General features: G+C 60.3%; 4 protein-coding genes and 1 long non-coding RNA gene across 59 annotated transcripts in view, besides 17 other annotated features; 2 read left to right on the top strand and 3 right to left on the bottom strand.

Moving 5' to 3' along the window:
- Window positions 791-1,377: an enhancer, noted in NCBI's record as "H3K27ac-H3K4me1 hESC enhancer chr4:686924-687510 (GRCh37/hg19 assembly coordinates)". NCBI's record gives its function as "activates a minimal SCP1, AML or CMV promoter by ChIP-STARR-seq in primed H9 embryonic stem cells {active_cell/tissue: H9 hESC(primed)}" and the evidence as "EXISTENCE:reporter gene assay evidence [ECO:0000049][PMID:30033119]".
- Window positions 1,378-1,965: an enhancer, noted in NCBI's record as "H3K27ac-H3K4me1 hESC enhancer chr4:686336-686923 (GRCh37/hg19 assembly coordinates)". NCBI's record gives its function as "activates a minimal SCP1, AML or CMV promoter by ChIP-STARR-seq in primed H9 embryonic stem cells {active_cell/tissue: H9 hESC(primed)}" and the evidence as "EXISTENCE:reporter gene assay evidence [ECO:0000049][PMID:30033119]".
- Window positions 2,888-17,686, top strand: SLC49A3 (solute carrier family 49 member 3). 24 transcript variants are annotated; one of them, XM_047416279.1, is made up of 12 exons: window positions 2,888-3,773; window positions 4,691-4,763; window positions 7,822-7,980; window positions 8,210-8,219; window positions 8,358-8,423; window positions 8,601-8,657; window positions 9,656-9,793; window positions 9,910-10,029; window positions 10,751-10,903; window positions 11,145-11,302; window positions 11,622-11,731; window positions 12,136-12,683. In XM_047416279.1, the coding sequence occupies exons 1-12, from the start codon at window positions 3,596-3,598 to the stop codon at window positions 12,552-12,554; spliced, it is 1,641 nt and encodes a 546-aa protein (XP_047272235.1). In that variant the 5' UTR covers window positions 2,888-3,595; the 3' UTR covers window positions 12,555-12,683. The 24 variants fall into 24 exon arrangements, 21 of the variants coding, with proteins under 21 accessions (XP_047272235.1, XP_047272238.1, XP_047272246.1 ...); XM_047416280.1 differs by lacking the exons at window positions 2,888-3,773; window positions 4,691-4,763 and adding exons at window positions 5,461-5,613; window positions 6,456-6,882; XM_047416282.1 differs by lacking the exons at window positions 2,888-3,773; window positions 4,691-4,763 and adding an exon at window positions 5,361-5,519 and having other exon boundaries at window positions 8,601-8,677.
- Window positions 4,150-5,097: an enhancer, noted in NCBI's record as "H3K27ac-H3K4me1 hESC enhancer chr4:683204-684151 (GRCh37/hg19 assembly coordinates)". NCBI's record gives its function as "activates a minimal SCP1, AML or CMV promoter by ChIP-STARR-seq in naive H9 embryonic stem cells {active_cell/tissue: H9 hESC(naive)}" and the evidence as "EXISTENCE:reporter gene assay evidence [ECO:0000049][PMID:30033119]".
- Window positions 4,325-4,374: an enhancer, noted in NCBI's record as "active region_21133". NCBI's record gives its function as "activates an Ori minimal core promoter by ATAC-STARR-seq in GM12878 lymphoblastoid cells {active_cell/tissue: GM12878}" and the evidence as "EXISTENCE:reporter gene assay evidence [ECO:0000049][PMID:35858748]".
- Window positions 5,098-6,046: an enhancer, noted in NCBI's record as "H3K27ac-H3K4me1 hESC enhancer chr4:682255-683203 (GRCh37/hg19 assembly coordinates)". NCBI's record gives its function as "activates a minimal SCP1, AML or CMV promoter by ChIP-STARR-seq in naive and primed H9 embryonic stem cells {active_cell/tissue: H9 hESC(naive and primed)}" and the evidence as "EXISTENCE:reporter gene assay evidence [ECO:0000049][PMID:30033119]".
- Window positions 5,315-5,374: a silencer, noted in NCBI's record as "silent region_15105". NCBI's record gives its function as "represses an Ori minimal core promoter by ATAC-STARR-seq in GM12878 lymphoblastoid cells {active_cell/tissue: GM12878}" and the evidence as "EXISTENCE:reporter gene assay evidence [ECO:0000049][PMID:35858748]".
- Window positions 5,405-5,574: a silencer, noted in NCBI's record as "silent region_15104". NCBI's record gives its function as "represses an Ori minimal core promoter by ATAC-STARR-seq in GM12878 lymphoblastoid cells {active_cell/tissue: GM12878}" and the evidence as "EXISTENCE:reporter gene assay evidence [ECO:0000049][PMID:35858748]".
- On the bottom strand, window positions 6,493-7,827 carry LOC124900643 (uncharacterized). The gene is made up of 2 exons (XR_007057985.1): window positions 7,274-7,827; window positions 6,493-7,040 (listed from the first exon to the last, which is right to left on the bottom strand). It is a non-coding gene; the product is annotated as an uncharacterized LOC124900643 (long non-coding RNA).
- Window positions 6,995-7,943: an enhancer, noted in NCBI's record as "H3K4me1 hESC enhancer chr4:680358-681306 (GRCh37/hg19 assembly coordinates)". NCBI's record gives its function as "activates a minimal SCP1, AML or CMV promoter by ChIP-STARR-seq in primed H9 embryonic stem cells {active_cell/tissue: H9 hESC(primed)}" and the evidence as "EXISTENCE:reporter gene assay evidence [ECO:0000049][PMID:30033119]".
- Window positions 9,148-9,277: an enhancer, noted in NCBI's record as "active region_21132". NCBI's record gives its function as "activates an Ori minimal core promoter by ATAC-STARR-seq in GM12878 lymphoblastoid cells {active_cell/tissue: GM12878}" and the evidence as "EXISTENCE:reporter gene assay evidence [ECO:0000049][PMID:35858748]".
- Window positions 10,408-10,817: an enhancer, noted in NCBI's record as "active region_21131". NCBI's record gives its function as "activates an Ori minimal core promoter by ATAC-STARR-seq in GM12878 lymphoblastoid cells {active_cell/tissue: GM12878}" and the evidence as "EXISTENCE:reporter gene assay evidence [ECO:0000049][PMID:35858748]".
- On the bottom strand, window positions 12,484-19,970 carry MYL5 (myosin light chain 5). Of its 18 annotated transcripts, none has more exons than NM_001395441.1 (9): window positions 18,658-19,970; window positions 18,303-18,508; window positions 16,483-16,590; window positions 15,747-15,854; window positions 15,479-15,554; window positions 14,494-14,598; window positions 13,925-14,003; window positions 13,372-13,420; window positions 12,484-12,619 (listed from the first exon to the last, which is right to left on the bottom strand). In NM_001395441.1, exons 3-9 carry the CDS (start codon window positions 16,483-16,485, stop codon window positions 12,518-12,520), a joined length of 522 nt encoding a protein of 173 aa, NP_001382370.1. In that variant the 5' UTR covers window positions 16,486-16,590; window positions 18,303-18,508; window positions 18,658-19,970; the 3' UTR covers window positions 12,484-12,517. The 18 variants fall into 18 exon arrangements, with proteins under 18 accessions (NP_001382370.1, NP_001382371.1, NP_002468.1 ...); NM_001395442.1 differs by having other exon boundaries at window positions 18,303-18,439; NM_002477.2 differs by having other exon boundaries at window positions 18,303-18,439; window positions 19,829-19,970.
- Window positions 12,565-12,794: a silencer, noted in NCBI's record as "silent region_15103". NCBI's record gives its function as "represses an Ori minimal core promoter by ATAC-STARR-seq in GM12878 lymphoblastoid cells {active_cell/tissue: GM12878}" and the evidence as "EXISTENCE:reporter gene assay evidence [ECO:0000049][PMID:35858748]".
- Window positions 12,875-13,074: a silencer, noted in NCBI's record as "silent region_15102". NCBI's record gives its function as "represses an Ori minimal core promoter by ATAC-STARR-seq in GM12878 lymphoblastoid cells {active_cell/tissue: GM12878}" and the evidence as "EXISTENCE:reporter gene assay evidence [ECO:0000049][PMID:35858748]".
- Window positions 13,147-13,786: an enhancer, noted in NCBI's record as "H3K27ac-H3K4me1 hESC enhancer chr4:674515-675154 (GRCh37/hg19 assembly coordinates)". NCBI's record gives its function as "activates a minimal SCP1, AML or CMV promoter by ChIP-STARR-seq in primed H9 embryonic stem cells {active_cell/tissue: H9 hESC(primed)}" and the evidence as "EXISTENCE:reporter gene assay evidence [ECO:0000049][PMID:30033119]".
- Window positions 13,295-13,394: a silencer, noted in NCBI's record as "silent region_15101". NCBI's record gives its function as "represses an Ori minimal core promoter by ATAC-STARR-seq in GM12878 lymphoblastoid cells {active_cell/tissue: GM12878}" and the evidence as "EXISTENCE:reporter gene assay evidence [ECO:0000049][PMID:35858748]".
- Window positions 19,347-20,104: an enhancer, noted in NCBI's record as "H3K27ac-H3K4me1 hESC enhancer chr4:668197-668954 (GRCh37/hg19 assembly coordinates)". NCBI's record gives its function as "activates a minimal SCP1, AML or CMV promoter by ChIP-STARR-seq in primed H9 embryonic stem cells {active_cell/tissue: H9 hESC(primed)}" and the evidence as "EXISTENCE:reporter gene assay evidence [ECO:0000049][PMID:30033119]".
- Window positions 19,400-19,469: an enhancer, noted in NCBI's record as "active region_21130". NCBI's record gives its function as "activates an Ori minimal core promoter by ATAC-STARR-seq in GM12878 lymphoblastoid cells {active_cell/tissue: GM12878}" and the evidence as "EXISTENCE:reporter gene assay evidence [ECO:0000049][PMID:35858748]".
- Window positions 19,680-19,949: a silencer, noted in NCBI's record as "silent region_15100". NCBI's record gives its function as "represses an Ori minimal core promoter by ATAC-STARR-seq in GM12878 lymphoblastoid cells {active_cell/tissue: GM12878}" and the evidence as "EXISTENCE:reporter gene assay evidence [ECO:0000049][PMID:35858748]".
- On the top strand, window positions 20,236-22,076 carry ATP5ME (ATP synthase membrane subunit e). Of its 2 annotated transcripts, NM_007100.4 has the most exons (4): window positions 20,236-20,300; window positions 20,546-20,600; window positions 21,111-21,209; window positions 21,993-22,076. In NM_007100.4, exons 1-4 carry the CDS (start codon window positions 20,265-20,267, stop codon window positions 22,010-22,012), a joined length of 210 nt encoding a protein of 69 aa, NP_009031.1. In that variant the 5' UTR covers window positions 20,236-20,264; the 3' UTR covers window positions 22,013-22,076. The 2 variants fall into 2 exon arrangements, 1 of the variants encoding a protein (NP_009031.1); NR_033743.2 differs by lacking the exon at window positions 20,546-20,600.
- The window catches only part of PDE6B (phosphodiesterase 6B), a 45,210-nt gene continuing 42,831 nt past the window's right edge, over window positions 23,730-26,108 (bottom strand). For 13 of the 14 annotated variants that reach the window (XM_047415773.1, XM_047415772.1, NM_000283.4 and 10 more), the window contains one exon: window positions 23,730-24,466. In XM_047415773.1, the coding sequence (XP_047271729.1) occupies window positions 24,405-24,466 (62 nt within the window). In that variant the 3' untranslated portion in view covers window positions 23,730-24,404. The remainder of the gene's footprint in view (window positions 24,467-26,108) is intronic. The other variant, NM_001145291.2, reaches the window with a different exon arrangement.

Raw genomic sequence — 26,108 nt, 5'->3', positions numbered from 1 at the left:
GACCAGTATAAGTATGCCAGGGCAAATATTTAGGCTAACTTGTGGGAGCTAAGAAAAAAAAGTACATTCATTTATTTATTATGGCTAGCAGATATTTAAGAATGTTAGCACAGGTCTTTGAATAAATTTTGCTTCTAAGAGAAGTTACTATTTATTCCTAATTAGATGGGGAGGAAAGTTTTTGAAGAGGAAGCTCTACTTAACTTTTTACAGCCTCCCAAGTAGCTGGGATTACAGGCACGCACCACCCCGCCTGGCTAATTTTTTGTATTTTTAGTAGAGATGGGGTTTCACCATGTTGGCCAGGCTAGTCTCAAACTCCTGACCTCGAGTGATCCACCCGCTTCGGCCTCCCAGAGTGCTGGGATTATAGGCATGAGCCACTGCGCCCAGCCCACAGCTTGGTTTATACATTTTAAATAGGCATGAGACATCGATCAATACATGTAACATGTACATTGGTTCAGTCTGGTAAGGCTGAACAACATGAGGAGGTGGAGGGCTTCAGGTCACAGGTAGATTTAAAGATTTTCTGATTGGCCATTGGTGAAGGACTTACTATCTAAAGACCTGGAATCAAACAGAAAGGAATCCCTGGGTTAAGATGAGAGGTTGTAGAGAGCAAGGTTTATTGCAGATGAAGCCTCCAGGGAGAAGACTTGGGAGAGAATAGATGGTAAATGCTTATCAGACTCAAGGAGACTGAAGGTCTCTGTGTTGATGTTTGTGAGGCTGCTCTGATTCCCATTTCCCCTCATGGCCTGAAGCAGTTTTTCAGGATAATTTGGAATGTTGTTGGCCAAGGGGAGGGTCCATCCTTTGGTTGGGGGCTTAGAATTTTAATTTTCATTTACACACAAATGAGAACACTAGGTCCTTCCACGGCTTATACCAAATCCTCTGTGAAGGAGAGACAGAGGGGGCCCCCTAGACTCCAGATTAAAGGGGCCCCGACTTCGGGGCTCACGGGAGCCTCCACGCTGGACGGGGAGGGGAGGAGGAGGACACGGAGGGCTCCTCTCTGGCAGGTCCGACTGGAGTGGCATGTGGCCTGGACATGGCCAGAGCCCTCCCTCATCTAAGTAAATAGACAGGCTCATGTTCCCTCTGTGGCCTGGACGTGGCCAGGGCCCTCCCTTGTCTAAGTAAATAGACAGGCTCATGTTCCCGTGCACATCTCTGTAAAAGGATGGGCCTTCCACATGCTTGAGGATGCATTCACGTTGTCACTCTGGGGCAGCCTGTGCACCCGGGTCTGGGTGTGCCGACTCAGTCCCGGCCACGGGCGCTGTCCCGCATGGGCTATCAGCAGCCGGGCCCTGGAGGGAGGCGCAGAGATGGGTGGGAGTGATGGCATGCAGGCGCGTGGAGATGGGGCACATGGAACCAGACGGGTCAAGGAGGCTCCACACAGGAAGTGGGCACCCCGCGGAAGAACCTGTCTGGCAGGCCCGGGGCGGTGGAGGGACCCACAGCAGAGAGGCCATGCGTCCCACGGTTTCTGTTTTTACCCTGGAGCTGTGCCGGGCAGTCCTTCCCCCAGGGCTTCGGGGTGGGCAGACGGCTCCTGCCCTCACATTGCTGAGGTTCTCTGGGAGGAGCAGATAAAAACCACTCAGAGGAGCAGCAGGACAGGCAGGCCGTCTCAGCGCAGCAGGTGAGGTTTCCTCCCTGACAGGCTGGAAAAGGCGGCCTGCCTCCTCCTTCAGCCTTGGCAGAGCAACTGTTTCCAGTGGCTTGATTTTGAACAAGATACTGTTTAGGAAAGACACATTAGCCCGCAATTAACGAATGCTAGTCTGGGATGCTGACAGAAGTCTATGTTGGGTTAAAAGAAGAGAGATAACAGCATTGAAATGCAAATTTAGCCATAACTGTGTATGTTAAGGATTATTTAAATAAGCTTTTGAAGATCCTTTTCTTTTCTCTTTTTTTTTCTTTTGAGACGGCGTCTCGCTCTGTCGCCCAGGCTGGAGTGCAGTGGTGCCATCTCAGGTCACTGCAACCTCCACCTCCCTGGTTCAAGCGATTCTCCTGCCTCAGCCTTCCGAGTAGCTGGGACTACAGGCACCCAAGACCATGCCCAGCTAATTTTTTCTGTATTTTTAGTAGAGACGGGGTTTCACCATGTTGGCCAGGATGGTCTCGAACTCCTGACCTCAGGTAATTTGCCCGCCTTGGCCTCTCAAAGTGCTGGGATGACAGGCGTGAGCTACCAAACCTGACCAGAGATCCTTTTGGAAAGCAAGACGCTGGGTGCCTTTGTCTGGAGGTCACCATGTAAACGTACACAGGCAATTCTGGGCTTGGGGTGAGGATCCCAGGATGGTGCTGTACCCGGATCCAAAACTCGGGCAGCTTAGGTGAGTGTGCCGAAGGTGCTTGTGGAGAAATGTAAACAAAACTGTTTCATTAGATGCAAGAGTGGAAAAAGTCATTGTTTCCAAATAAGTGGACTTATACTATGCGATTTTTTAAAAAATTAAATTTTTTTTTTTTTTGAGACGGAGTCTCGCTCTGTTGCCCAGGCTGGAGTGCAGTGACGCAATCTCGGCTCACTGCAAGCTCTGCCTCCTGGGTTCACACCATTCTCCTGCCTCAGCCTCCCGAGTAGCTGGGACTACAGGTGCCCGCCGCCACGCCCGGCTAATTTTTGTATTTTTAGTAGAGACAGGGTTTCATCATTTTGGCCAGGCTGGTCTCAAACTCCTGACCTCAAGTGATCTGCCTGCCTTGGCCTCCCAAAGTGCTGGGATTACAGGCGTGAGCCACCGTGCCCAGCCCATTTAGAAAGTTTATTTTGCCAAGGTTAAGGACACACCTGTGACATAGCCTCAGGCAGTCCTGATGGCACGTGCTCAAGGTGGTTGGGGCACAGCTTGTTTTTTTTTCCTTGTTTTATTTTTGTTTTTTTTTTGTGACAGAGTCTCCCTCTGTTGCCCAGGTTGGAGTGCAGTGGCACGATCTTAGCTCACTGCAACCTCTGCCTCCCGGGTTTAATCAATTCCCACCTTATATAGCCTCCTGAGTAGCTGGGATTACAGGCATGCACCACCATGCCCAGCTAATCTGTTGCATTTTTAGTGAAGACGGTTTCACCATATTGGCCAGGCTGGTCTTGAACTCCCGACCTCAGGTAATCCACCCACCTCGGCCTCCCAAAGTGCTGGGATTATAGATGTGAGCTACCTCGCCCAGCCATGGTTTGTAATTTTTTTTTTTTTTTTTTGAGACAGAGTCTCACTCTGTTGCCCAGGCTGGAGTGCAGTGGCATGATCTCAGCTCACTGCAACCTCTGCTTCCCGGGTTCGAGATTCTCTTACCTCAGCCTCCCAAATAGCTGGGACTACAGGTGCATGTCACCACACCTGGCTAATTTTTGTATTTTTACTAGAGACTGGGTTTCACCATGTTGGCCAGGCTGGTCTTGAACTCCTGACCTTGTGATCCACCTGCCTTGGCCTCCCAAAGTGCTGGGATTACAGGCGTGAGCCACCGCACCCGGCCCATGGTTTGTAATTTTTAGCATGCAAGTTCTGTAGATGGTTTGCTAAGTTTATACCAAAGTATTTAATTTTCCTTGGAGTAATTATGAATGTCTTTAACTTTGGTTTTCATGTTTCTTGTTGGTATACATCAATGCAAGCGATTGTTGTGTGCTGATCTTGCATTCTGCAATGTTGCTGAGCTCACCTGCTCAACCCAAGAGTTCCGACATGTAGGGAGGAGGAGCCCCTCAACAATGCACGCTCAACAGAGACTGAACAATGGAGGTAGCTACAGTGGCTGCCCCGTTTCATGGTGACACCCCTCGACAATGCACGCTCAACAGAGACTGAACGATGGAGGTAGCTACTGTGGCTGCCCCATTTCATGGTGACAGGCTCAGACACCACCTGTCAGAGGCAGTGCTCCACAATAGTGAGGTCCCTCAACAGGGAAGCCTGCACTGCAACTCCCCCTCTGCCAGGTGGGGTTAGGGGATGTTGAAGGCCCTAGGCCAACATTGGCACTGGACTATGGAGGAAGGTTGTGAGGGGGCTGGGTCCTCAGGGCAGGGCGAGCAAGAGGTGAGGAGAAGGAGAACAGAAGGAACTGGTGGGGGAATGGGGAACAAAGATGAGGGGGGAGGCTAGACGGTGGGGAAGGCAGAGGAGATAAAGAGAGTGAGGACCACAGGGCTCCATCACACGTCTCAGAGAATGGAACCCCCTTGGGGCCCACCCATCTCAGGACACCCCGGGTGAGCTCCATTTTCTCTTTGTTACTGGATGAGACTCTACAAAAAAAAAAAAATCCCAAAGTGGAGAGCTCTATCTGAGACACACACACAATCCCTGCAGAAGACTGCACAGTGAAAGCTGGGGCCTCATCATTAGCCTGTTCAGACTCAGGTGTGGAAAATGGACAGGCCCTGGCAAAGGAGATGAATGTTTAAGACAAAAACCACGAATAATACTGTTCAGGAAACGGGGATGGTTTCAAGGGTCAAGAGAGCCTCCCTGTTTGGGGGAAATCCTGTTTGCACGTCTGACCAGGCCAGCCTCCACCCCACCCCTATACTGGCCTCAGCAACAGGGCCTGGAGCCTCTTGGGTTCCCCCAGGGTGGGCCAGGCACAGTTGTGGGATCAGCAGGTTCTTGCAGAAAAGACTAAGCCGAAACTCCCTCCTCTGCCTTCCAACACACAGGCCTCTCCATCCTAAACAAACAGAAACCTGTGCCTACTCCTCTGAGAGCCGTGTCCTCCATTGTAAAATGCAGGTAACAATCCGGTGCGTGTGTGGCGGACTGCCTACCCCAGGGTGGGGCCCACAGGCCTTTCTGGCCTTCCCTCCAGCCTTGGCCTGCAGCCCCTCGCCCTCCTACCCCATGCCTGCTTCCCGCAGGGGCTGTAGAGGGACTGGTCTGATTTGAGGCTCTGCGCAAAGCCAGCCCAGCCTCTTCTTCCAGGCTGGCCTCTGGCCCCTCCCTGTGGCTGGCTTGAACCTCAGGAACTTGGGGTCCACAGCCCCCTTCAGGAAGTGCAGAGCTTCTGCTGGGCAGAGTGACTTCCAGGCCGCCTTTCCTGCTGAGAAGCACACAGGCTGTGACCGGGGCCCTTCCCGGAAGGGACATTCGGTTTTTGTGGCAGGGACTTCCAGCCTGAGGCCGAAGGAGGAGGGTCCAACTTCACCTTTGCCCGCCCTTCCCCCGCTTTTTTGGGTCTCCTTTAACTGGGACGGGGCGGGACCCTCCTCCGTAGTCCTTGGGGCGGAACTGGCCCCCCGTGGCCCGGCCCGGCCCGGCCCCACCTCCGCCCGCAGGCGGTCCCGGCCCACGCGGGAAGGTCCTTAAGCCCGGGCGGCCGGCGGGACCGGCGGAGACCCGTGGAGGCCGCCGACGATGGCGGGGCCGACGGAGGCCGAGACGGGGTTGGCCGAGCCCCGGGCCCTGTGCGCGCAGCGGGGCCACCGCACCTACGCGCGCCGCTGGGTGTTCCTGCTCGCGATCAGCCTGCTCAACTGCTCCAACGCCACGGTAGGGGCAGGGGCGGGGACAGGTGGCTCCGGGACCCTCAGTCCCTCGGACCAGCCGGGTTTTGTTTTCCTGTGGCCACAGCCCGAGGTGCCAGGTGCTGGCTGGGGGCGGGGGGTGCCTTCTGGAGGTGGCTAGGGATTGCGGGCACTGGGGGCACTGTCTGTCCTGGAGGTGGCTGGGCCCAGGGCACAGAGCAGGGCTGGGTGCCCCGGGGGATCTGCCAGTCACGGAGTCCCAGCCCTTCCCAGCCTTCAGTGGCTCCAGCCTGGGTCCCTCTTCCCCAGCCAGTCACATACAGGTGGCCCTGCGTTGGCCCTCTCTCCTTCCACGCCTCCCAGCCCCAGGACAGCAGGCACACAGCAGAGGCGCGCTTGGAGCCGCCCTCCCCTCCACCTGACTCTGAGTGAGGGGCGGCTCCTGGGCTGGGCTGGGTTCCGTCCTGCCCCCACCCCCTTCAGGTGTTGCACGCTGCAGCCTTTCCCGCCCTGTGTGCCCTCATCAGCCATCCCCCGGAGCCTCAGGAACTGGTCAGGCAGTATCTGGCCAACGTGCAATGAACAGCTAGAGTTGGCAGCAGGACCCACAGCTCAGGGAGGCGCCAGGTCACGGGGATGGTCAGGAAGCTCGGGGGCAGGGGCAGGAGTCACTCTCAGGCCTGGGTCAGGGCTCTTCCAGGTGGACCCCGGGGCCTCTCCCCTCCTCCTTTGCTGGCTGGGTATGGAGGGCCAGCCTCTGGCCGAGACAGGCCCGGGATCTGCTGGATGGGCCCAGGGGCTGCCTGCTGCCCACAATGCTGGCACGAGCCGTAACTCACTGCTGTGGCTTGGCGTCCTGGCCCACCATGTCCAGGCACTGGGGAAGCCATAACTGGCTTTGGGTGGAGTGTCTGAGGGTGCAGGGCTGGTTTCATGGTCCAAGAGTCAGTGGGTGTCGTAGGTGTGGGGCGTTCCTTGGACAGTCAAGGGCCTCCTGCTGCAGTTCTTCACTGTTTTATTAATATCCACGAGTCATCATGGAGCACACAGAAATCTCACCCTGACACCAAGAGTCGTCATGGTCTCTGCCTGGGTCACCACAGTGAGCCGTAAGCACCATGTTCACTCCAGCCAAGTGCCCTTGAGGCTGGAGGTTACTCATCTGCAGCCAGTGACCAGGGATCCCGGGTTCCAACCAGCAGCATGAGGGCCAGGCGGAGCAGAGCTTGGGTCAACACCCACCCCGGAAGGCAGCCCAGTGCTCTGGATGAGACTCAAAGGACCCAAGGGGGCGAGCGCAGGCAGGGTCGAGGCTGGGAGATGAGGAAGGGAGTCAGACAGATCGTCCTCCCACGTTGCCCCGCACGCTTCAGACGCATCTCTTCTCAGTGAGTCAGCTGTGGGCCCCACTCAGGCCCCCGAGGAACCAGGACAGGGCTGAGGCTGGAGCGGCGGGCTCGGCTCCGCAGGGTGGGCTTTCTCTCCCGGGCTCGGCCAGGCAGGCACCAGCTGGGCCTGGGGAGCTCGTTCTGTGCCTGGCCCCGTCCTGCAGAAAAAGGAAGACAGGGCGGCTGTTGCCCAAGCTCCCTGTCCTGTCCCGTGGGCTGAGTCAGACCTTGTCCGGGCGGAGCCTGGGTCTGGCTGCTGTGTCCGAGGGTGTGGCCTGGAGCTCAGTCGACTCATGGAAGTTGACCTTGAGTGACACGGCCTCCTGCCTCCCGGAGTGAGCCCCGGTGACCCGCTCCACTTTGGCCTCCCTCAGGGATGAGCCAGTCTCACCTCTCCTAGGAGGCCTTCCCCTCGGCCGCAGCGTGCACTTGTGCTGTGTGCTGGACGTCCGTGGGGTGAAGAGCTCTAGTACTTGATAATGCCTGTGGCTGGGGAATGGTGCCCGCTCTGGCAACATTCTGCCCAAACACCTGGGCCCTGCAGGAGGGAAGGTCAGGCTGGCCTTGGGTGGGGCTGGCCTGCAGTCCCAGAGGTTCTAGCTGAGACCCCGTCACGCCCACCTTTCCCTGCCTTGGAGCGCCAGGTCTGGTCTGGGCAGGGCTCGTGGTCCTGTGGGCTCTGGCCAGGTCCTTGGCCTCAGTGTCTGCCCCCCAGGCTGGTCCCCGGTCAGGGCATGCTCTCTGACCCTGCGCTGGGTGCCCGCCCTCGGGGGAGGCAGGGTGGCGCTCTCCTTGGGCAGGAAGGCCCCGTGTCCAGCTCGCTGTGTCCCCTCGGCCTCACGGGGCTGCTGGCACTCTGACCCCCTCGGGCTGGCTGGGGCCACAGCAGGTAGGTCCGGGGTCTGTGGCCCTGCGCTGACTCCCGCCTGACCCCTGCAGCTGTGGCTCAGCTTTGCACCTGTGGCTGACGTCATTGCTGAGGACTTGGTCCTGTCCATGGAGCAGATCAACTGGCTGTCACTGGTCTACCTCGTGGTATCCACCCCATTTGGCGTGGCGGCCATCTGGATCCTGGACTCCGTCGGGCTCCGTGCGGCGGTGAGTCAGACCCCACACCATGGCCCGCTCCGGGACAGTGCAGGGGCCCCCGCATTTGGGTAGGAGAGTCAAGGCCTCCCCAGACCGGGGCCCACCAGTCCCAACAGCTGGGGACCCCGGCAGAGCCGTCGAGGTGGCGGCAGTGGGAGGTCCAGGTGCTCGGGGGACGGGGCAGGCACTTGGGCTGGTGGCAGCGTTCCTGACCCGGTCCCCGACCCCCTCCTCGCAGACCATCCTGGGTGCGTGGCTGAACTTTGCCGGGAGTGTGCTACGCATGGTGCCCTGCATGGTTGTTGGGACCCAAAACCCATTTGCCTTCCTCATGGGTGGCCAGAGCCTCTGTGCCCTTGCCCAGAGCCTGGTCATCTTCTCTCCAGCCAAGCTGGCTGCCTTGTGGTTCCCAGAGCACCAGCGAGCCACGGCCAACATGCTCGCCACCATGTGTGAGTTCCGGGGAGGGAGGCCGCCTGCCTGGGCTCACCTCAGGGTCCACACAGACGCTCGGCTCCCCAGGCTCTCTGGCCAGGGTGGAGGAGCTGGGGCCCGGAAGGTTCTGCCTGTGGGCTGGCGATGAAGCCAGGCCACAGCCGAGCTGACACTTTGTGCATCCGCCCACCCAGCGAACCCTCTGGGCGTCCTTGTGGCCAATGTGCTGTCCCCTGTGCTGGTCAAGAAGGGTGAGGACATTCCGTTAATGGTGAGGGGTCATGAGACGCCCGTGCCTGGTCTGTGTGGTGTGTGCGCATGCACGTCTGTGTGTTCCTGATCCCAAGTGTGTCCGTGTTCCTGTGCCCGTGTGTGATTCCCGTCCCCCGCCCCGCCACCCGAGAAGGAGTCTCAGCCTGTCGCTCAGGCTGAATTGCAGTGGCGCGATCTCGGCTCACTGCAACCTCCGCCTACTGGGTTTAAGCAATTCCCCTGCCTCATCTTCCCGAGTAGCTGGGACTACAGGCGTGCGCCACCATGCTTGGCTAATTTTTTTTTTTTTGTATTTTTGGTAGAGTTGGGGTTTCACCATGTTGGCCAGGCTGGTCTCGAACTCCTGACCTCATGATCCGTCTGCCTCGGCTTCCCAAAGTGCTAGGATGACAGGCGTGAGCCACCGCGCCCGGCCAGTGTGTGATGTTTCTATGCCTGCCTGTGTGTATTGAGTGTGTGTGGTGTGTGCGGTGCGTGTCTCTGTTCCTGTGCCCATGTGTATTGTGTGATGTGTGCATATGTGTCTGTGTGTCTGTGCACATGTGTGGTGTGTACCTGTGTGTGCTCGTGCATGTGTATCAGGTGCGGGTGGTGTGTTTGTGCTTGGGGGTATGTACTGAGCGTGAGTCTGTATGCACGTGTGCCTCTGCACCCACCTGTGTCTGTGTGTTGAGCCCTATCATGGGCTGTGCAGCTGGCAGTGAGATGTAAGTCTGGAGCCTGGGGGTGCTGGGCTAACATCAGCCAGGAGGGTGTCACTGGTGAGGGATGCGTTGACAGCCAGGGGTCCCCATGAGCCCCTGGAGCAGGCCCCTCCCAGCCTGGGCCTCGCAAAGGGCAGCTGCAGACCAGAGGTTGGGAGGCAGCCGGTGGTGGGGCAGGAGGAGCTGGGAGGTGGCGCCTGGGACAGGCAGGGCTGCGGCGTGTGTGGGTGCCAGTCTGCGTGGTCTCCTTGTGCACACACACCCCTCCCCAGCTCGGTGTCTATACCATCCCTGCTGGCGTCGTCTGCCTGCTGTCCACCATCTGCCTGTGGGAGAGTGTGCCCCCCACCCCGCCCTCTGCCGGGGCTGCCAGCTCCACCTCAGAGAAGTTCCTGGATGGGCTCAAGCTGGTCAGTGCCGTGGGATCCCCGGGGTAGGGTGGATTTGGGGGTGGGGGCAAGAGGCTGAGGAGGCGATGGGTTTGGGAAGGGCCCCCGGGCTCCGGGGCTGAGACGCTCTTTCCCAGCAGCTCATGTGGAACAAGGCCTATGTCATCCTGGCTGTGTGCTTGGGGGGAATGATCGGGATCTCTGCCAGCTTCTCAGCCCTCCTGGAGCAGATCCTCTGTGCAAGCGGCCACTCCAGTGTGAGCCTGGCCCCACCCCTGGGGACCCTGCCTCTGTCATCCGCCCCATATGGCCATGGAGTCACCGCCGCCTCCAGGGTGCCCAGTGTCCGACCCTGGCGGGGGCCACATTGACACCCTTCTGTGCTGTGGGCCCTCCCGAGATGCCCTGTGTGACATTATGTCCACAGGCAGTGGAGGTGGTGGGCACAGCTGCAGTGGGGTGGGGCAGCTGTGGGACGGAGCGGAGGGACTGACGGTGCCCTGTGGATGGGAAGGTGGGGCCCCCAGGGCTCCCAGTGCCCCTTCCCAGCAAGGCCCCGCCCCTGTGGGTCTGCAGGACAGCGCCACCTTCTGGTATCCAGACGTGCAGCGGGGAGGGCCTTGCTCTGCTCGCATATCTCCGAGCTGGCCCTCTGCCCTCTGCCTTCTGGGATCAGTGCTCAGTGTAGGATTGGGGGCATGTTTCCACCTTTGCCAGGGCCACAGGCACCACGGCCCTGTGGGGCCTCTGTGGAGACAGGCTCTTCCCTTTAGCGATTGCTTTGCTCTGGGGTGGGGTGGGAAACACAAGGCAGGAAACCCTACCCCGCAGGCAGCCAGCGGTGCGTCTGGAAGCTGTGTTGCTATGCCTGGGCCTTGGGCACAGCACACGGCCCTACACTGAGCCCCCTGCCCTGACGGCATGCACCTAGGATAATGGTGGCCTCTTGGGGCCCTGGCCTCTTCTCGCCTCCTCCAGGGGTTTTCCGGCCTCTGTGGCGCTCTCTTCATCACGTTTGGGATCCTGGGGGCACTGGCTCTCGGCCCCTATGTGGACCGGACCAAGCACTTCACTGAGGCCACCAAGATTGGCCTGTGCCTGTTCTCTCTGGCCTGCGTGCCCTTTGCCCTGGTGAGGGTCTCCTCAAGCCAAGACTGCCCTGTGGGGGTGGGTGGGTGGTGAGGCCCGGAGAGGGCGGTTGGCGGCTTGGCTGGAACAGAGGTCTGGACTGTCTCATGCCCAGCCTCTGCCAGCCAGGGTGGCCCCGGGGTGGGATGGGTTCTCCTGCCCCGTGTCCCATGTCCCGTGAAGCCAGGTCCAGTTCTGACTGCCACCCCCTCCACCTGTCTGCCTGCCGTTCCGCTGCTCCCAGGTGTCCCAGCTGCAGGGACAGACCCTTGCCCTGGCTGCCACCTGCTCGCTGCTCGGGCTGTTTGGCTTCTCGGTGGGCCCCGTGGCCATGGAGTTGGCGGTCGAGTGTTCCTTCCCCGTGGGGGAGGGGGCTGCCACAGGCATGATCTTTGTGCTGGGGTGAGTGTCCATCTGCCCCTGCTGCAACCCCAGAGATACTCCCCTTGCTCCACCCCTACACCCCTGGGGTTGCACCATGTGGTCCAGGCCCCTTTTCGGGGAGGTGGGGAACCTGCCTGCTCTGGCAAGGGCCGAGCAGGTTCTGAGCACCTGCTGTGTGCAGGCCGGGCCGGCTGATAGGGCCCATGACCGAGGCTGCGTGCTGCCTTCAGGAGGGTGGTGGCACAAGGGACAGCACCGATGTCAACATTTCCCAAGGTGGCACCTGGCTCCGAGGGGGTGGGCAGTGCAGCGGGGGCTGAGGGCCACGTGTGTCCAGGCAGGCCGAGGGAATACTCATCATGCTGGCAATGACGGCACTGACTGTGCGACGCTCGGAGCCGTCCTTGTCCACCTGCCAGCAGGGGGAGGATCCACTTGACTGGACAGGTGAGCCTCACATGGGGAGTCCCCAGGGAACAGGACAGGTGAGCCCCATGTGAAGATTCCCTGGGAGCGGGACAGGTGAACCCTACGTGGGGAGCCCTAAACAGCAGGACAGGTGAGCACCACGCAGGGAGTCCCCGGGCAATAGGACAGGTGAGCCAGGACAGGTGTGGCCGAGATCAGAGATGGGGCTGGCACACCCATATCCCAGACCCCATGCTAGTGACCTCTCTCAGGACCTGGGTCTGCAAACACCCCCTCAGGGCTGTCAAGAGCTGCGAGTGGGCTCTCCGTCTGGGGTCACTCTGTGGTCAAGGGTAGTGGGGTCACCATAGGCCAGCATTGGGCTCTGCCCATCTGTGGCCCCTGGGCTTGGCTGTGGGGACAGCTGTGCTATGTGTCCCCAGTGTCTCTGCTGCTGATGGCCGGCCTGTGCACCTTCTTCAGCTGCATCCTGGCGGTCTTCTTCCACACCCCATACCGGCGCCTGCAGGCCGAGTCTGGGGAGCCCCCCTCCACCCGTAACGCCGTGGGCGGCGCAGACTCAGGGCCGGGTGTGGACCGAGGGGGAGCAGGAAGGGCTGGGGTCCTGGGGCCCAGCACGGCGACTCCGGAGTGCACGGCGAGGGGGGCCTCGCTAGAGGACCCCAGAGGGCCCGGGAGCCCCCACCCAGCCTGCCACCGAGCGACTCCCCGTGCGCAAGGCCCAGCAGCCACCGACGCGCCCTCCCGCCCCGGCAGACTCGCAGGCAGGGTCCAAGCGTCCAGGTTTATTGACCCGGCTGGGTCTCACTCCTCCTTCTCCTCCCCGTGGGTGATCACGTAGCTGAGCGCCTTGTAGTCCAGGTTGCCCGCCACATCGATGGAGGCGAACTGGAACATCTGGTCCACCTGCGGGCGGGGGCGAAAGGGCTCCTTGCGGGCTCCGGGAGCGAATTACAAGCGCGCACCTGCAGCGGCCCCGGGTGTGGTTTCTGCGCCGCGGGAGGGGGAGCGGGGAGGGGCCCGGGTGCGGGGTGAGGGCGGCGCTGGAGGGGGCGGGGCGGCGCTGGAGGGGGCGGGGCGGCGCTGGAGGGGGCGGGGCGGCGCTGGAGGGGGCGGGGCGGCGCTGGAGGGGGCGGGGCGGCGCTGGAGGGGGCGGGGCGGCGCTGGAGGGGGCGGGGCGGCGCTGGAGGGGGCGGGGCGGCGGCGGCTGCAGCCACAGTCTGGGCGCACGTGTCGGGCTCGGCCCTTCAGCAGCGTCGGGGAGGACCGTGTGGGGTCTGGGGGAGGTGCGGGGGTCCTGAGGGGTGGCCCGGCATTAGTCTCGCCCGCTGGGGCTGGGAGCGGCGCGTCGGGGGTGGGGGGCGGCTCCGGACCGCACAGCTGTGAGCCCCGCCCCTCCGGCTGGGACAGACGCTCAGGCCGCGGAGGGGTCTCCAGCCGCTGATCTAACGGAGGGGAGGGGTCTCCAACCGCTGACCTGATCCCTCTGAGCCAGTTCCGTCCCTCAGACGGGCACTTCGGGAGCCCCCCGGGGGCCTGTTCTGTCCTGGGTCCTAACCGCGGCGCTGCTCCTCGGGCTCCGCGTCCCCCTCCACCCAGCTGACCCCGGGAGCCCCGCCCTCCCCTCGTGGGCTTGGCAGGGAAGCCGCGGGCCAGACCTCTTCCGCCGTCATCTTGTCAGCCTGGGACATCAGCAGACGCTTGATGCTGAGGACGAGGAAAGGGGTCAGCGCGGGCTGATGCGGGGGTGCAGGAGCCTTCTCGGTGGGGCTCAGGTGCTCCAGGGGCCCCAGGTTGTACTCGCTCACTGCACTCCCGCCCTTCCCGCTGGAGTGTGGCCCTGGGGCAGGTCCCTTCCCAACACACACTCAGGGGCCATCACTTCTGGGGGAGCCGCTGATGGGGACAGAGCCGGAAGGAGGTTACAGGCCAGCGCCTGGTACTTTCCCCGGCGCCTAGCAGGAGCTGAAGATGGAGGAGTGGGCTGAGGGGAAGCCGCCCCACCCCCACCGGGCACAGGCGCTGGTCCCTGTGTGAGCAGGGCTGGCCTCCCACTCAGCTGGGATCCTGGGTTCGCTCCTCATGGCCCTGAAGCTGGTCAGAGGTGGGGAGGTGGGCGTGGCATCTGGTGGCTGACTGTCCCTTTTGGGACAGGATGAGATCACTGGGGTTCCCCGGAAGCCGGGCCGCCCTGGCCGCCCGGGCACTCACTACTCCTTGTTGATTTTCCCTTTCCCGTCCGGGTCCAGCATCTTGAAGGCGTTAAGAATGGTCTCCTCGGCGTCGGTACCTGCCACAAAGGCACCTTCAGCCCAGGGCCGTCAGGGTGGCAGTCCCGTGGCTGCCAAGGGCAGATGGCAGGAGGGGAGACCCCTGCCCCAAGCAGGGGGAGACTCCAAGCCTCTGCCCACAAGGTGGCCTCTGCCTGAAGGCCTTCTCCTTTCCTGAGCCCCAAGGAGGCCTTGTCGGGCACTCCTGCCCTGGGGTGTAGTGAGTTTTGGGGTGCCCAGGGTCAGCCCAGGCCTGGAGCTGGGGGTGAGTGCTGCATGAGTGAGGGACAGAGGTGTCGACGGCGGGTCACACAGCACGTGGGGCAGGAGGGCGGGCCTGAGCACATGGCTCTGGGGTGGCTGACGGGGCCCCACAGTTGTTGGCTCCCAGAGTGCCAGGCCCTAGGGCTTCTCCAGAGATTGGAAAAGAGAGATTTTTACGTGAAATGTCCGGATCTCTAACTGTTAGGAATTAGCTAGGAGGGCCAGGCCTGCCCCACCGGTGCTCACCGCTCAGCTTCTCCCCAAACAGGTTCAGAAACATGGTGAAGTTGATGGGCCCCGAGGCCTCTTTGAGCATGGCGTCCAGCTCGTCGTCCTTGACGTTGGTCTTGCCTGTTACAGACATGGGGGCATCACAGGGCAGGGCTTGTTGCCTGCCCTGTGCCACCAGCAGGTGACCCCAGCACAGGGCCAGGCAGGCAGATGGGAAGGGTGGGGAGGGAGCGGGAAGGAGACGCTTGGCCCAGGCACGTGGGGCAGTGGGTGCATCTGGCTGGCTGTGTCCACCTCACCCCAAACCGTGAGCCCCAGGACTAAGTGCTGAGGGAGAGGGAGGTGACACAGAGCCTGGGAAGGTGCTGGGATCTGCTGTTCTTAATTCTGGGCATAAGCAGGGCCGAGAGGAAGGTGGGTCACTTGCGACCCTCCCACCCCAAGGAGAAATCACTCCCCAGCTCCCAGGGCAGGACCGAAGCCCCCTGCCCTCCTGCCTCAGGTCAGAGGCAGCTGCTGGGAACAGAATGTGCCGCAGGGAGGACTGAAGCTGGGGAGGGCAGTGTGCCCCACCACACTCGGGCTGTGCTGCAGAGGCTGGGCAGCGTCTCCACGCCCTCTGTCAGCTCTGTGGTCTGGCCGGGCAGGGTCTCCATGCCCTCTGTCAGCTCTGTGGTCCTGCCTGGGGGCAAGCCGCCTGCCTGCCTGTGGCGTCCTACCAGAGAGTCAGCCCCTCCCTGGAGCCTGCTGCCTCAAAGCCCACTCTGAGTTTCCAGGCTTGGGCTGTCCCACCCACCCTGTCTCACCCTGGGATGCTCTCTGCCAGCTCTGATGGAACCAAGGGCGGCCAGGGCCATCACCTTGCAGCTTCAGGGCCGTTGGTGGGCCTCTGAGGCGCGGGCCCTGGCTCCATTCGAGGAGGGGCCGCGGCGTCTGGAGCTGGAGGACCTCTGTGTTCGCCTCCTCCAAGGGCTCTGAGGCGTTCTGCCTGGGTACCTACCCAGGGAGGCATAGGTGTCCTTCAGGTCCTCCTTGTCAATGAAGCCATCTCGGTTCTGATCCATGAGTGTGAATGCCTGGGGACCAAGGTCAGGGCTGCTGTGCTGCCAACCCGGCTGGGCTCTGCCCCGCCCCCTGCTCCCGGTTCCTCAGCACCCCTGACTGAGGATAGGCTTCCACTCCTGCTGGCCCTGGAGCCAGCCCACATGGGGTCTTCCCAGCACAGGCTCCTGGGGGTGGGGGCTCCCAGTGAAGCAGGAAAGTCTCACCTCCTTGAACTCCTGGATCTGAGTCTGCTCAAAGTTGGAGAAGACATTGGATGAGGCTCTCTGGGCCCGGAGGGCACCCCCTTCCTTCTTCTTGGTCTTCCTGCTGGCCTGCGGTGGGAGCACCATGGCTGAGGGTCCTGGGCTGGCTGACGAAACCCTCCAGGGCACCCAGAGTTTTGAGAGACTTAACTCAGATGAAGGGTGGACCTCAGCCCTTCGGGCTGGAGGGGGCCAGACAGCTGAGGAGCATGCCAGCCTCAGGCCTGGGTAGCTGGGGTTGGGGGCAGGACGGCTGCAGGTGTCTGGCTTCAGCACAGGGACTGGGGGAGGGACAGTGGCTTCCAGAAGGCCCACAGAGCACAGTGGTCAGGGATCGCCGTCCAGCAGGAGCCAGCTTGGCCTCTGAAGGCTTGAGGGGCAAGTGGACTCTGGGTGGGCTTGTTCTGGGTACCGGGATTTTGTGAAAGCCAGGAACCCCCTCATCCTGCTCCGGACTCTCACCAGGAGAGCAACGTGAGGCACGTACTTCCCACAACACAGCACAGCCCACACCCGCAAGGTCACACACACGCACATACACACGCTCATGCACACACATATGCAGGCAGAGCACACGCCCACACCTGCATTCACACGCAAGCACGGACACGCCCACGCTCGTCTGTGCGCATGTACACATGCACAGCACAGCTCACACCCACACGCCTGCCCCAGGCATGCACGGCGGCCTGCTCACCATGCCTGCTTCTGCCTGCTTTGATGCGTCTGCCCAGGGCCCCAGGTCTTGCCCATCTTAAGCTCCTGCTTGGTCCCCCAGGACAGTTCAGACTCCGGCTGCCACTCCCTACAAGGACAGGCTTGGGGCTACCCCAGGGGACTGGACAGCTGCAGAGTGAGCTTTGGCAGCCTGGCAGTGACTCACACCCTTGCCCTGCCTCACCCCGCAAGGCCCCCAGCCTCCCCAGATACCTCTGGCCAGGACTACCTCCCATCCACCTGTCCCCGAACCCCGGGGAGGCTTTGTTCTCCCAAGGATTCTGTGTGTCAGCAGGGCCACCTGTACACGCTCTTGGCTGGGGGCCTGGGCACCCTGGAACTGCAGGAGCCAGAGGAAGGGGCACTTTTTCTAGATTTGCACAACGCTGCTGTGGGTGACTGCAGCTGGTCACCGGGCTTCTGCCAAGCACACTCTGTCTGTCAGGGGTGTCCACGCCCCTCCCTGCCTTGGTGACAGAAGTCAGTCCATAGCCTTGGCCCTGGGACCACCCCGTCTGACCTCATGGCTGGGAGCTCCTTGCCTGGCCCATGGGTGATGACATTTCTGGGTTGGAGGAGCCATGGAGATGGCCACGTTGCTCAGATGGGCTGGGAGGGGGACTCTAGGGCCCTGAGCCTGGTCTTCCCCACTATACCATGGCCTCAGGCACAGAGTCTGGGGTAGGGACCTGGCCCAGGGTCTGTTGGTGGTGTCAGACATCAGAGGCCACCACAGAGTCAGCATCCAGATGCCCTGGTTCAAGGGGTGGGAGGAGGGTCTGCAGGCCAAGCAGGATCAAGGAGGAGGCCTACAGGCTGAGTGGAGAACAAGCTTTTGGAGCCCCCCAGGCCTGCGTCTGCGTGGGACGCAGTAGGTAACAGGACCCAGGGCACCTGCCCCTCGGTGCTGCAGGGGCAGTGGTGGGAGTGACTATATGCAGCCACAACAGCAGGTGGGATCCCTGGGGGCGCCACCGTGTCTGCAAGGCTAAAAAGACAGGTGCCACTTGCATGTCTCTTGAGCAGAGGTCCTACCCCCTGAGGGACACATGGTCACAGTTGGCGTCCCCTGAGATGCTGCCTGGTGCCATCCCCAGGTCCAGCGGCCTCTATGAAGCACTGACTCCTGAGGTTGAGGACCCTGGAGGCATGACCTGCCCAGGAGGGACCTGGGGCCGACTGCAAGGTGTCAGGTGACCAGATGTGGAACCCTGGGGCTGGGAGCAAGGGCCAGGGCATCCCCTGCTGCCAGTCCAGTGGGGTCTGGGTGTGATCCTGAAGGGGCACTGCTGGGCTGCAGGAGTGGGGAGAACCACACCGAGGGGGGAAGCATGGTTGGGAGGCCCCCCGAGGCCACCGGGAATGTGAGAAGGGCTGCAGAGCCCCCTGCAGAGGGTTCCCAGGCCACTGGAGTCTGAGCACAGTGCTAAAGATAGCAGCAAGCCTGAGCCGGGGGAGTATCGGCTTCTGCACCCACAGCTGACCTGACAGCTGCAGAGGCCCCTGCGGGCGGTGTGCTGAGCCAGGTGGGACCCGTCCCACCACTAAGCTCTCAGGAAAGGCCTTGAGCAAAGGCAAGTCTCCATTGGCTTCAGGGGGTTTTCCCCAGGCCGTGTGTGTTTGCCCGCATGTTTTCTCTGCTGGTGCCCTGCCCCGCCCCACCTCTGGTGGAAGCTGCTGGTATGTCCCCCTCACCCCCTACCTTGGGCCCCAGAGACACTTATTTTTGATTCTGGAAGCAGGAGTTGCTGAGGAGTCTGGATTATTTTAAACTCCAGTGAAGGGAAAACCCATTGTCACCTGAGGCCGTCTGCCCTGGCGGAAGCGGGGGCTTGCCGAGGGCCAAGATGGTTCTGTGCCTTGTGGATCCAGTGTGCACCTGCGGCTTCCTCAGCGAGCAGTAGACACGGGGAGGGCTGGAGTTTGCTTCTGGCCCCCTGAGGACAGGGTTCAGGCAGAGGCCTCAGGCAGGAGTCTTCAGGGACTGCCAGCCAACCTCACAGAAGCTGGAGAAAAGATCAGGTGGCCCTACAGCAAGTACCTAACCTTTTTGGCGCCTGGGACAGGTTTCACGGAGGACAGTTTTTCCGTGTTGGGGAGGAAGGTTTCGGGATGAAACTATTCCACCTCAGTTCATCAGGCATTAGATTCTCACCAGAGCGCAATCCAGATCCAAGTGCGCAGCTCACAGTAGGGTTCACGCTCCTATGGGAATCTGATGCCCAGGCTGATCTGAAAGTGGGTGGAGCTCGGGCAATCATGCTCCCTCACCTCGTCCTGTGCTGCCCGGTTCCTAACGGGCCACAAGCTGGTACTGGTCTGCACCTGGGGGTTGGGGACCCCTGCCCTATAGGACTGGCCTTGGTATACCCAGCTCAGGAAACAGAGCCCAGTGACTTCCTAGTTTCTCAGCCAGAGAGGCCCAGGCCCTGGACCCCAGAGCAAGCCAGGAGAGGGGGCAGAGGCGACTTAGGCCCGGACAGGTAGCCCAGGCCGCCAGGATCACGGGTCCTCCCCATGCTTGCTTCAAGAGTCCTGGAGTTTGTGATGCTGCACCTTAGCGAGACCCGAGCCATAGTTCTCCAGTTGCTTCTGCCTGTAGCAGTGCAGGGCCAGGAGGGGACACAGGAGGCCTTGCGTCACTACTGCATGGGGCCAAAGGGGGCCCGAGGGTGGCCCAGCACGGGCAGCATGGCTGCCGCCAGGAAGACCCAGAACGTGGAGGGGGTGCCAGGCTCCTGCCTAGACTCCAAGCCTGGTGTCCATGGGGCTGGCGGGTCAGCACTTCGGGCACAGCGGGGAGGCTGCATAGGCACCGCAGGCCCCATCTCTGGGCAGCTGTGGGAGACACACAGCTACCGGGAGGTGGACAGAGGCCAGCAAAGACCAGTGTGGGGCTCAGTGGTCCCCAGGCCTGGGCCGGGGCAGGCCCTTGGAGCCGTGGAGTCCTGAGGCCTGGAGTCGGGGGACCCAGGGAGCAGCCTCTGTTGGGGGCTGGTCTTCCCAAGAAGATCCCAGCCCCTCTTCGGGACAGAAGTGATGGGGCATCCTGGGGTGAGGAAGCTCCAGCTCCGGGATGAAGGGCGCCCCGTGCTCCCGGGCAGAGCAGCCGCAGGAAGAGGGGCCTGGAGGCCATGCTCCCGCGGGCCGCGGAATCCAACGCGGCCCGGCCGGCGACAGACACTACTGCCTTGTAGGAGAAGGACCTGCCCGGGGAGCCACCTGCACTCGGCTCACACTCCGCTCCCAGGACCCCCAGGTCCCTGCCCAGGCCACCCTCGGGTGGGCGCGGTCCGCGGGGCTGGACCCGCCCGAGCCGCCCTGACCTCAGGCCTCCGACGCTCCGCGCAAGAAGACAGAGTGCGCCCCGGCCCGCAGTCTGGGGTGTGGACACACGGCCAGGACGCGGACGGCGGGGCCTCGGCAGCAGCGCGGGGAAACAGCGGACCCCCAGCCCTGCGGGGAAAGGAAACCCCCCGCCCACTCGGCGCAGATCCCGCCTCACGCAGCAACTGCGCAGGCGCAGCCGATGATCCTCCGCGCACTCCCCAGCCTTTGTGCGCGTGCGCCTCACGTGACGTCACCGCCGCGCGGGGGCGCGCAGTCACCCTTCGGTCGCCAGGGGGCGCGGCCCCCCGCTCTCTCGCCGCTGACGGCGCATGCGTGCGCCCAGCTCCGCCTTTGCCTCCAAGGCTTTGCTGGCTTGTGCGGCATCCTGCTCCGTCTGCAGGTTGTGCTTCCGGTGCGGAGGTCAGGGACAAGATGGTGCCACCGGTGCAGGTCTCTCCGCTCATCAAGGTGATCCAGGCTTTGCAGCCGCCGCCCAGTGCTCTGGGCCCCCCCGTGTCCCGCCCCGCAGCTCCGACCCCGCGGGCTGCGACCCCCGGCCCCCGCCCCCATGATCCTCGCCCCGTGACCCTCGCCCGGCGACCGGACCCCCACCCCTCCTGCGACCTCTGCCCAGCGACCCCGCCCCCCCTCCTCCCGCGACCCCCGTCCCGCGAGCCCCGTTTCGCGCCGCCTCTGACCAACCTCTTTCGCAGCTCGGCCGCTACTCCGCCCTGTTCCTCGGTGTGGCCTACGGAGCCACGCGCTACAGTGAGTGACCGCGGGCGGGGCCGGGGCGGGGTCTGCTCGGCTTTCCTGTGGAGCTCCTGTGCTATTTGGAGAACTCCAGCTCTGGAAGGGGGCTTGGGACGCATGCGAGGCTGCAGGACCGTGTCCTCCACCGAGCGTGACCCCGATAGTGGAATCAGCTCACCCAAAGCTCAGGCTTCTGAGGCCCGGGCGGGGGACTCGAAAACGGCTGCTTCTTGGTGAAAACGGGTGCTAAATGGCTGTTCGAGTGCTGAGGTCTTGATGGGAGGCAGTCCCTGTTCGCAGAGGACGAGTGAGCCAGTGCGTGAGCGGGTGGGCAGCAGGGGCCCTGTAGCCTCTGGGTTGGACTCGTCAGGGTGAAGGTCAGGCGTTGACTCGCATTAACATAAAGAGCGGGAACAGCAGGTGCGTCTGGTTTACAGCGTCGCTGAAGATACCTTGACCTGTGGACTCAGTTCCTTTTGTACAGCATTTCCAGTGAATTTTATTCTCCTGCATTCCGCCAAACAGATTACCTAAAACCTCGGGCAGAAGAGGAGAGGAGGATAGCAGCAGAAGAGAAGAAGAAGCAGGATGAACTGAAACGGATTGCCAGAGAATTGGCAGAAGGTACGAGTGACACTGGCTCTTATAGATTGTCCCTCCCAGGTTTGTGCAGGGATAAGGAAAATGGAGGAGGACATTTAAGCAGAGCTAAGTAGATGCGGATTGTTTAAAAATGGGGAAGCTGGCCAGGCGTGGTGGCTCATGCCTGTATCCCAGCACTTTGGGAGGCCAAGGCGGGCAGATCACCTGAGGTTAGGAGTTCAAGACCAGCCTGACCAACATGGTGCAACCCTGTCTCTACAAAAATTAGCCGGGCATGGCCCGGTGCGGTGGCTCATGCCTGTAATCCTAGCACTTTGGGAGGCTGAGACAGGCAGATTGCCTGAGCTCTGGAGTTCGAGACCAGCCTGGGCAAGATGGTGAAACCCCATTTCTACTAAAATACAAAAAATCAGCCGGGCATGGTGGCAGGCACCTGTAATCCCAGCTACTCAGAAAGCTGAGGCATGAGAATTGCTTGAACCCGGGAGGCGGAGGTTGCAGTGAGCTGAGATCACGCCACTGCACTCCAGCCTGAGCAGCAAAGTGAAATTCTGTCTAAAAAAAATTAGCCAGGCATGATGGCGGGTGCATGTAATCCCAGCTACTCAGAAGGCTGAGGTGGGAGAATCGCTTTAACCTGGGATGCAGAGGTTGCAGTGAGCTGAGATTGCGCCATTGGGTGACAGAGCGAGACTCCGTCTCAAAACAAAAAAAAAAAAAAAAAAAATAACTGGGAAGCTGAAGTGGTCTTTTTAGGTTGCCTGAGTGGTAACATGTGCTTTTCTTCTAACCTTCCGGCCCAAGATGACAGCATATTAAAGTGAGTGACCCTGCGACCCACTCTTTGGACCAGCAGCGGATGAATAAAGCTTCCTGTGTTGTGTGATACTCCGGCTCCTCATTTGCTGTCGCTGGTTGTGGAATTCCTAGGTTGAAGTTCTGTCCACCTCCCAGTTCACGTGAGGTGGAAGACAGGGAGGGGGTTTCAAAAGAATCCACATTACCATTCACAGACCCAGAATGCATCATGTAAACACAGTGGGAAGGACAGATGCGCGCTGCCTGTTCTGTCTGGGGCATCCAGGTGGGGAGCCCCAAAGGCCGTCTGTAATGGAGTCAGTCAGCTGGGGGCCTCATGAGTACTGGGGTTGTCTTGATTCTGAGTTCTAGGCTGCTGCTCTCAGCAGCCCAGACCCCTGGATGGGGAGGGGTAGGCACTGACTGACGCCCTTACAGTTGGGAAGCTGGGTCCTCCTCCACAATAACCCCTCGCCCCAACCTGCCATTTCACAAATCCTCCCTTTGATCCCAGGAAGTGGCCAGGTCAGACTTGGGACTAAAAGTCTGGTGATGTGACCTCCTGAGCACAGGGCCTGAGTGCTGTTTGAGTTGTGCAGGGAGGTGGTCTTGTGGTGCCTGAGCCACTTCCCTCCCCAGCAGGCTTCCTGGGCTTCTCGCCCCTCCTGGCTGTGAGCTTGCCAACAACCCAAACCCTTGGCCTGGTGGTTTGCAATGGACAGATTGAATTTGCTACTTCCCAGTTATGTGCCTTGAGCAAATCTAGGCTTGGAGCCCCAGTTTGTAAAATGAGTTCGTTTGCAAATATAAGGCCAAAGGGAGAAGCAGCCTATAAGCTTTTCAGGACATTTGGTTAAGGTGAGCTTTGAGTGAGCAAGATACTTTCACATCCTGTCCTGGCGTCCAGAGGGGCTGTTTGCAGGATCCCTCAGAACCTCTTAAGAGCCCCTCATCCCAGACCCAGGCTCTGGATACCAGGGGTCTCTGACCAGTGAGATGAAAAGGCTGGGCACGGTGGTTCACACCTGTAATCCCAGCACTTTGGGAGGCCAAGGTGGGCAGATCACTTGAGGTCAGGAGTTCAAGACCAGCCTGGCCAACATGGCGAAACCTTGTCTTTACTAAAAATACAAAAATTAGCTGGTTGTGGTGATGGGTGCCTGTAATCCCAGCTACTCAGGAGGCTGAGGCAGGAGAATTGCTTGAACCCGGAAGGTGGAGGTTGCATTGAGCCAAGATCACACCACTCCACTCCAGGCTGGGTGACAGAGTGAGACTGTCTCAAGCAAAAAACCCAGCACCCCCTTCCTGCAGCCCCATGGCTGTGCTGGGCATGTCTGCTGCTCTCCCACGCCCACCCCAATGAGCCCATCTAGTTAAGCGTCATCTAGTGTTGGGAGCAAATGCCTTGGAGCTCACATCATGAGTTGAACATCCTGAATTTAACATAATACCGATTTCAACTGGGAAGTCCGTTTCTTTGCCTCTGTCCTTCACTCCAGGCTCACCAATATTTAATCATGGGGGTGCACGGGCTTCGGCATCCAGCCCTGCACTGCCCTCCTGGTGCCGTCTGGGGCCATCAGAGCCACTCTACATGGTGTTTATTACAGATCATTTCCGCTCAGACCACTGAAGTTGGATGGCCGCTTTACTCATGGCCTTGACCTCTCTGGCAGAATTTTCTGATGGGTCAAATGTAGTGTGGCTTCCGCTATCATTTTACCACAGATAATGGGCAAGTAGTTTTCTGTTTATTTTATTCTGAATTCCTGAGCATGTGTGTTTTCCTAAACTGGATGAGAAACGGCCTGTGTCCATCTGTCTACCTGTGTACACATATGTACATGTGTGGCTGCAAATGTTCTCAGTGATTTCAGAGTTCATGGACCCTTTTCAAAGGTCTCCCAGTGGTAACTATCCAAAAATGGATGAGTAATGTAGGCTACAGTTTATTCACAGTTGGCTTCAGTTTATAAAAACAGGCTGGGCGTGGTGGCTCATGCCTGTAATCCCAGCACTTCAGGAAGCTGAGGCGGGTGATCACCTGAGGTCAGGAGTTCGAGACCAGCCTGCCCAATATGGTGAAACCCCATCTGTACTGAAAATACAAAAATTAGCCATGTGTGGTGGTGGGCGCCTGTAGTCCCAGCTACTCAGGAGGCTGAGGCACGAGAATCGCTTGAACCTGGGAGGTGGAGGTTGCAGTGAGCTGAGATCGTGCCACGGCACTCCAGCCTGGGTGACAGAGCAAGACTCCATCTCAAAAAAAAAAAAAAAAAAAAATTAAAATATCCAGAATGATCTTCAGTCATTTTCTTGGGCTTCCTAACCTCTTGTAGCAAATAGCCACAGGCAGAACCCAAATCCTAGTGGGTGAAGATTGAGGGAGCCATAGGGTCCCCATGGGACCAGTGCTCACAGGATACAGCAGGTTGAAGACTTGGGTGCTGGGCCGCCATTGCAAATTTCTGTGCCTACTGCAAGAGAAGACAGAAGATGGTGAGTGGAACCACCTGTGCACACCAGCCCTATTCCTTCCCTCCTGCCTGGTGTGACCTCTACCAACCCCTGCAGGAGGAAGGACAGCACCTGGGTCTGTGACCAGCCCAAGCCGATTAGCTGGGCTGAGCCTTTCTTAGTGCTTTAGCCTCTGTTGACACTGTGCCCTGATTATGCTCATCCTGGCCTTCCATAGTCCTGAAGTCGCCTTGTTTATGTAGCATAGGATAGCGGGAATAGCATGGGGTAGGGGGATAGCATGGGGTAGGGGAATAGCATGGGGTAGCGGGAATAGCATGGGGTAGCGGGAATAGCATGGGGTAGCGGGAATAGCATGGGGTAGCGGGAATAGCATGGCGTAGCGGGAATAGCATGGGGTAGGGGAATAGCATGGGGTAGCGGGAATAGCATGGGGTAGCGGGAATAGCATGGGGTAGCGGGAATAGCATGGGGTAGTGGGAATAGCATGGCGTAGCGGGAATAGCATGGGGTAGCGGGAATAGCATGGGGTAGTGGGAATAGCATGGGGTAGCGGGAATAGCATGGCGTAGTGGGAATAGCATGGGGTAGTGGGAATAGCATGGGGTAGGGGAATAGCATGGGGTAGCGGGAATAGCATGGGGTAGGGGGATAGCATGGGGTAGGGGAATAGCATGGGGTAGTGGGAATAGCATGGGGTAGGGGAATAGCATGGGGTAGCGGGAATAGCATGGGGTAGTGGGACTAGCATGGGGTAGTGGCAGCAGCATGGAGTAGTGGGAATAGCATGGGGTAGTGGGAGCAGCATAGGGTAGGGGAATAGCATGGGGTAGCGGGAATAGCATGGCATAGCGGGAATAGCATGGGGTAGGGGAATAGCGTGGGGTAGTGGGAGCAGCATGGGGTAGGGGAATAGCGTGGGGTAGTGGGAGCAGCATGGGGTAGGGGAATAGCGTGGGGTAGTGGGAGCAGCATGGGGTAGGGGAATAGCATGGGGTAGCGGGAATAGCATGGCATAGCGGGAATAGCATGGGGTAGGGGAATAGCGTGGGGTAGTGGGAGCAGCATGGGGTAGGGGAATAGCGTGGGGTAGTGGGAGCAGCATGGGGTAGGGGAATAGCGTGGGGTAGTGGGAGCAGCATGGGGTAGGGGAATAGCATGGGGTAGCGGGAATAGCATGGCATAGCGGGAATAGCATGGGGTAGGGGAATAGCGTGGGGTAGTGGGAGCAGCATGGGGTAGGGGAATAGCGTGGGGTAGTGGGAGCAGCATGGGGTAGGGGAATAGCATGGGGTAGGGGAATAGCATGGCATAGCAGGAATAGCATGGGGTAGGGGAATAGCATGGCATAGCGGGAATAGCATGGGGTAGGGGAATAGCGTGGGGTAGTGGGAGCAGCATGGGGTAGCGGGAATAGCATGGGGTAGGGGAATAGCATGGGGTAGCGGGAATAGCATGGGGTAGTGGTACTAGCATGGGGTAGGGGAATAGCATGGGGTAGCGGGAATAGCATGGGGTAGTGGTACTAGCATGGGGTAGGGGAATAGCATGGGGTAGTGGGAGCAGCATGGGGTAGTGGGAGCAGCATGGGGTAGTGGGAGCAGCATGGGGTAGCGGGAATAGCATGGGATACTGGGAGCA

The sequence above is a fragment of the Homo sapiens genome, chromosome 4, assembly GCF_000001405.40.
Source record: "Homo sapiens chromosome 4, GRCh38.p14 Primary Assembly".
NCBI classification, from domain to species: domain Eukaryota; kingdom Metazoa; phylum Chordata; class Mammalia; order Primates; family Hominidae; genus Homo; species Homo sapiens.
This window is presented reverse-complemented; position numbering and strand designations above follow the sequence as displayed.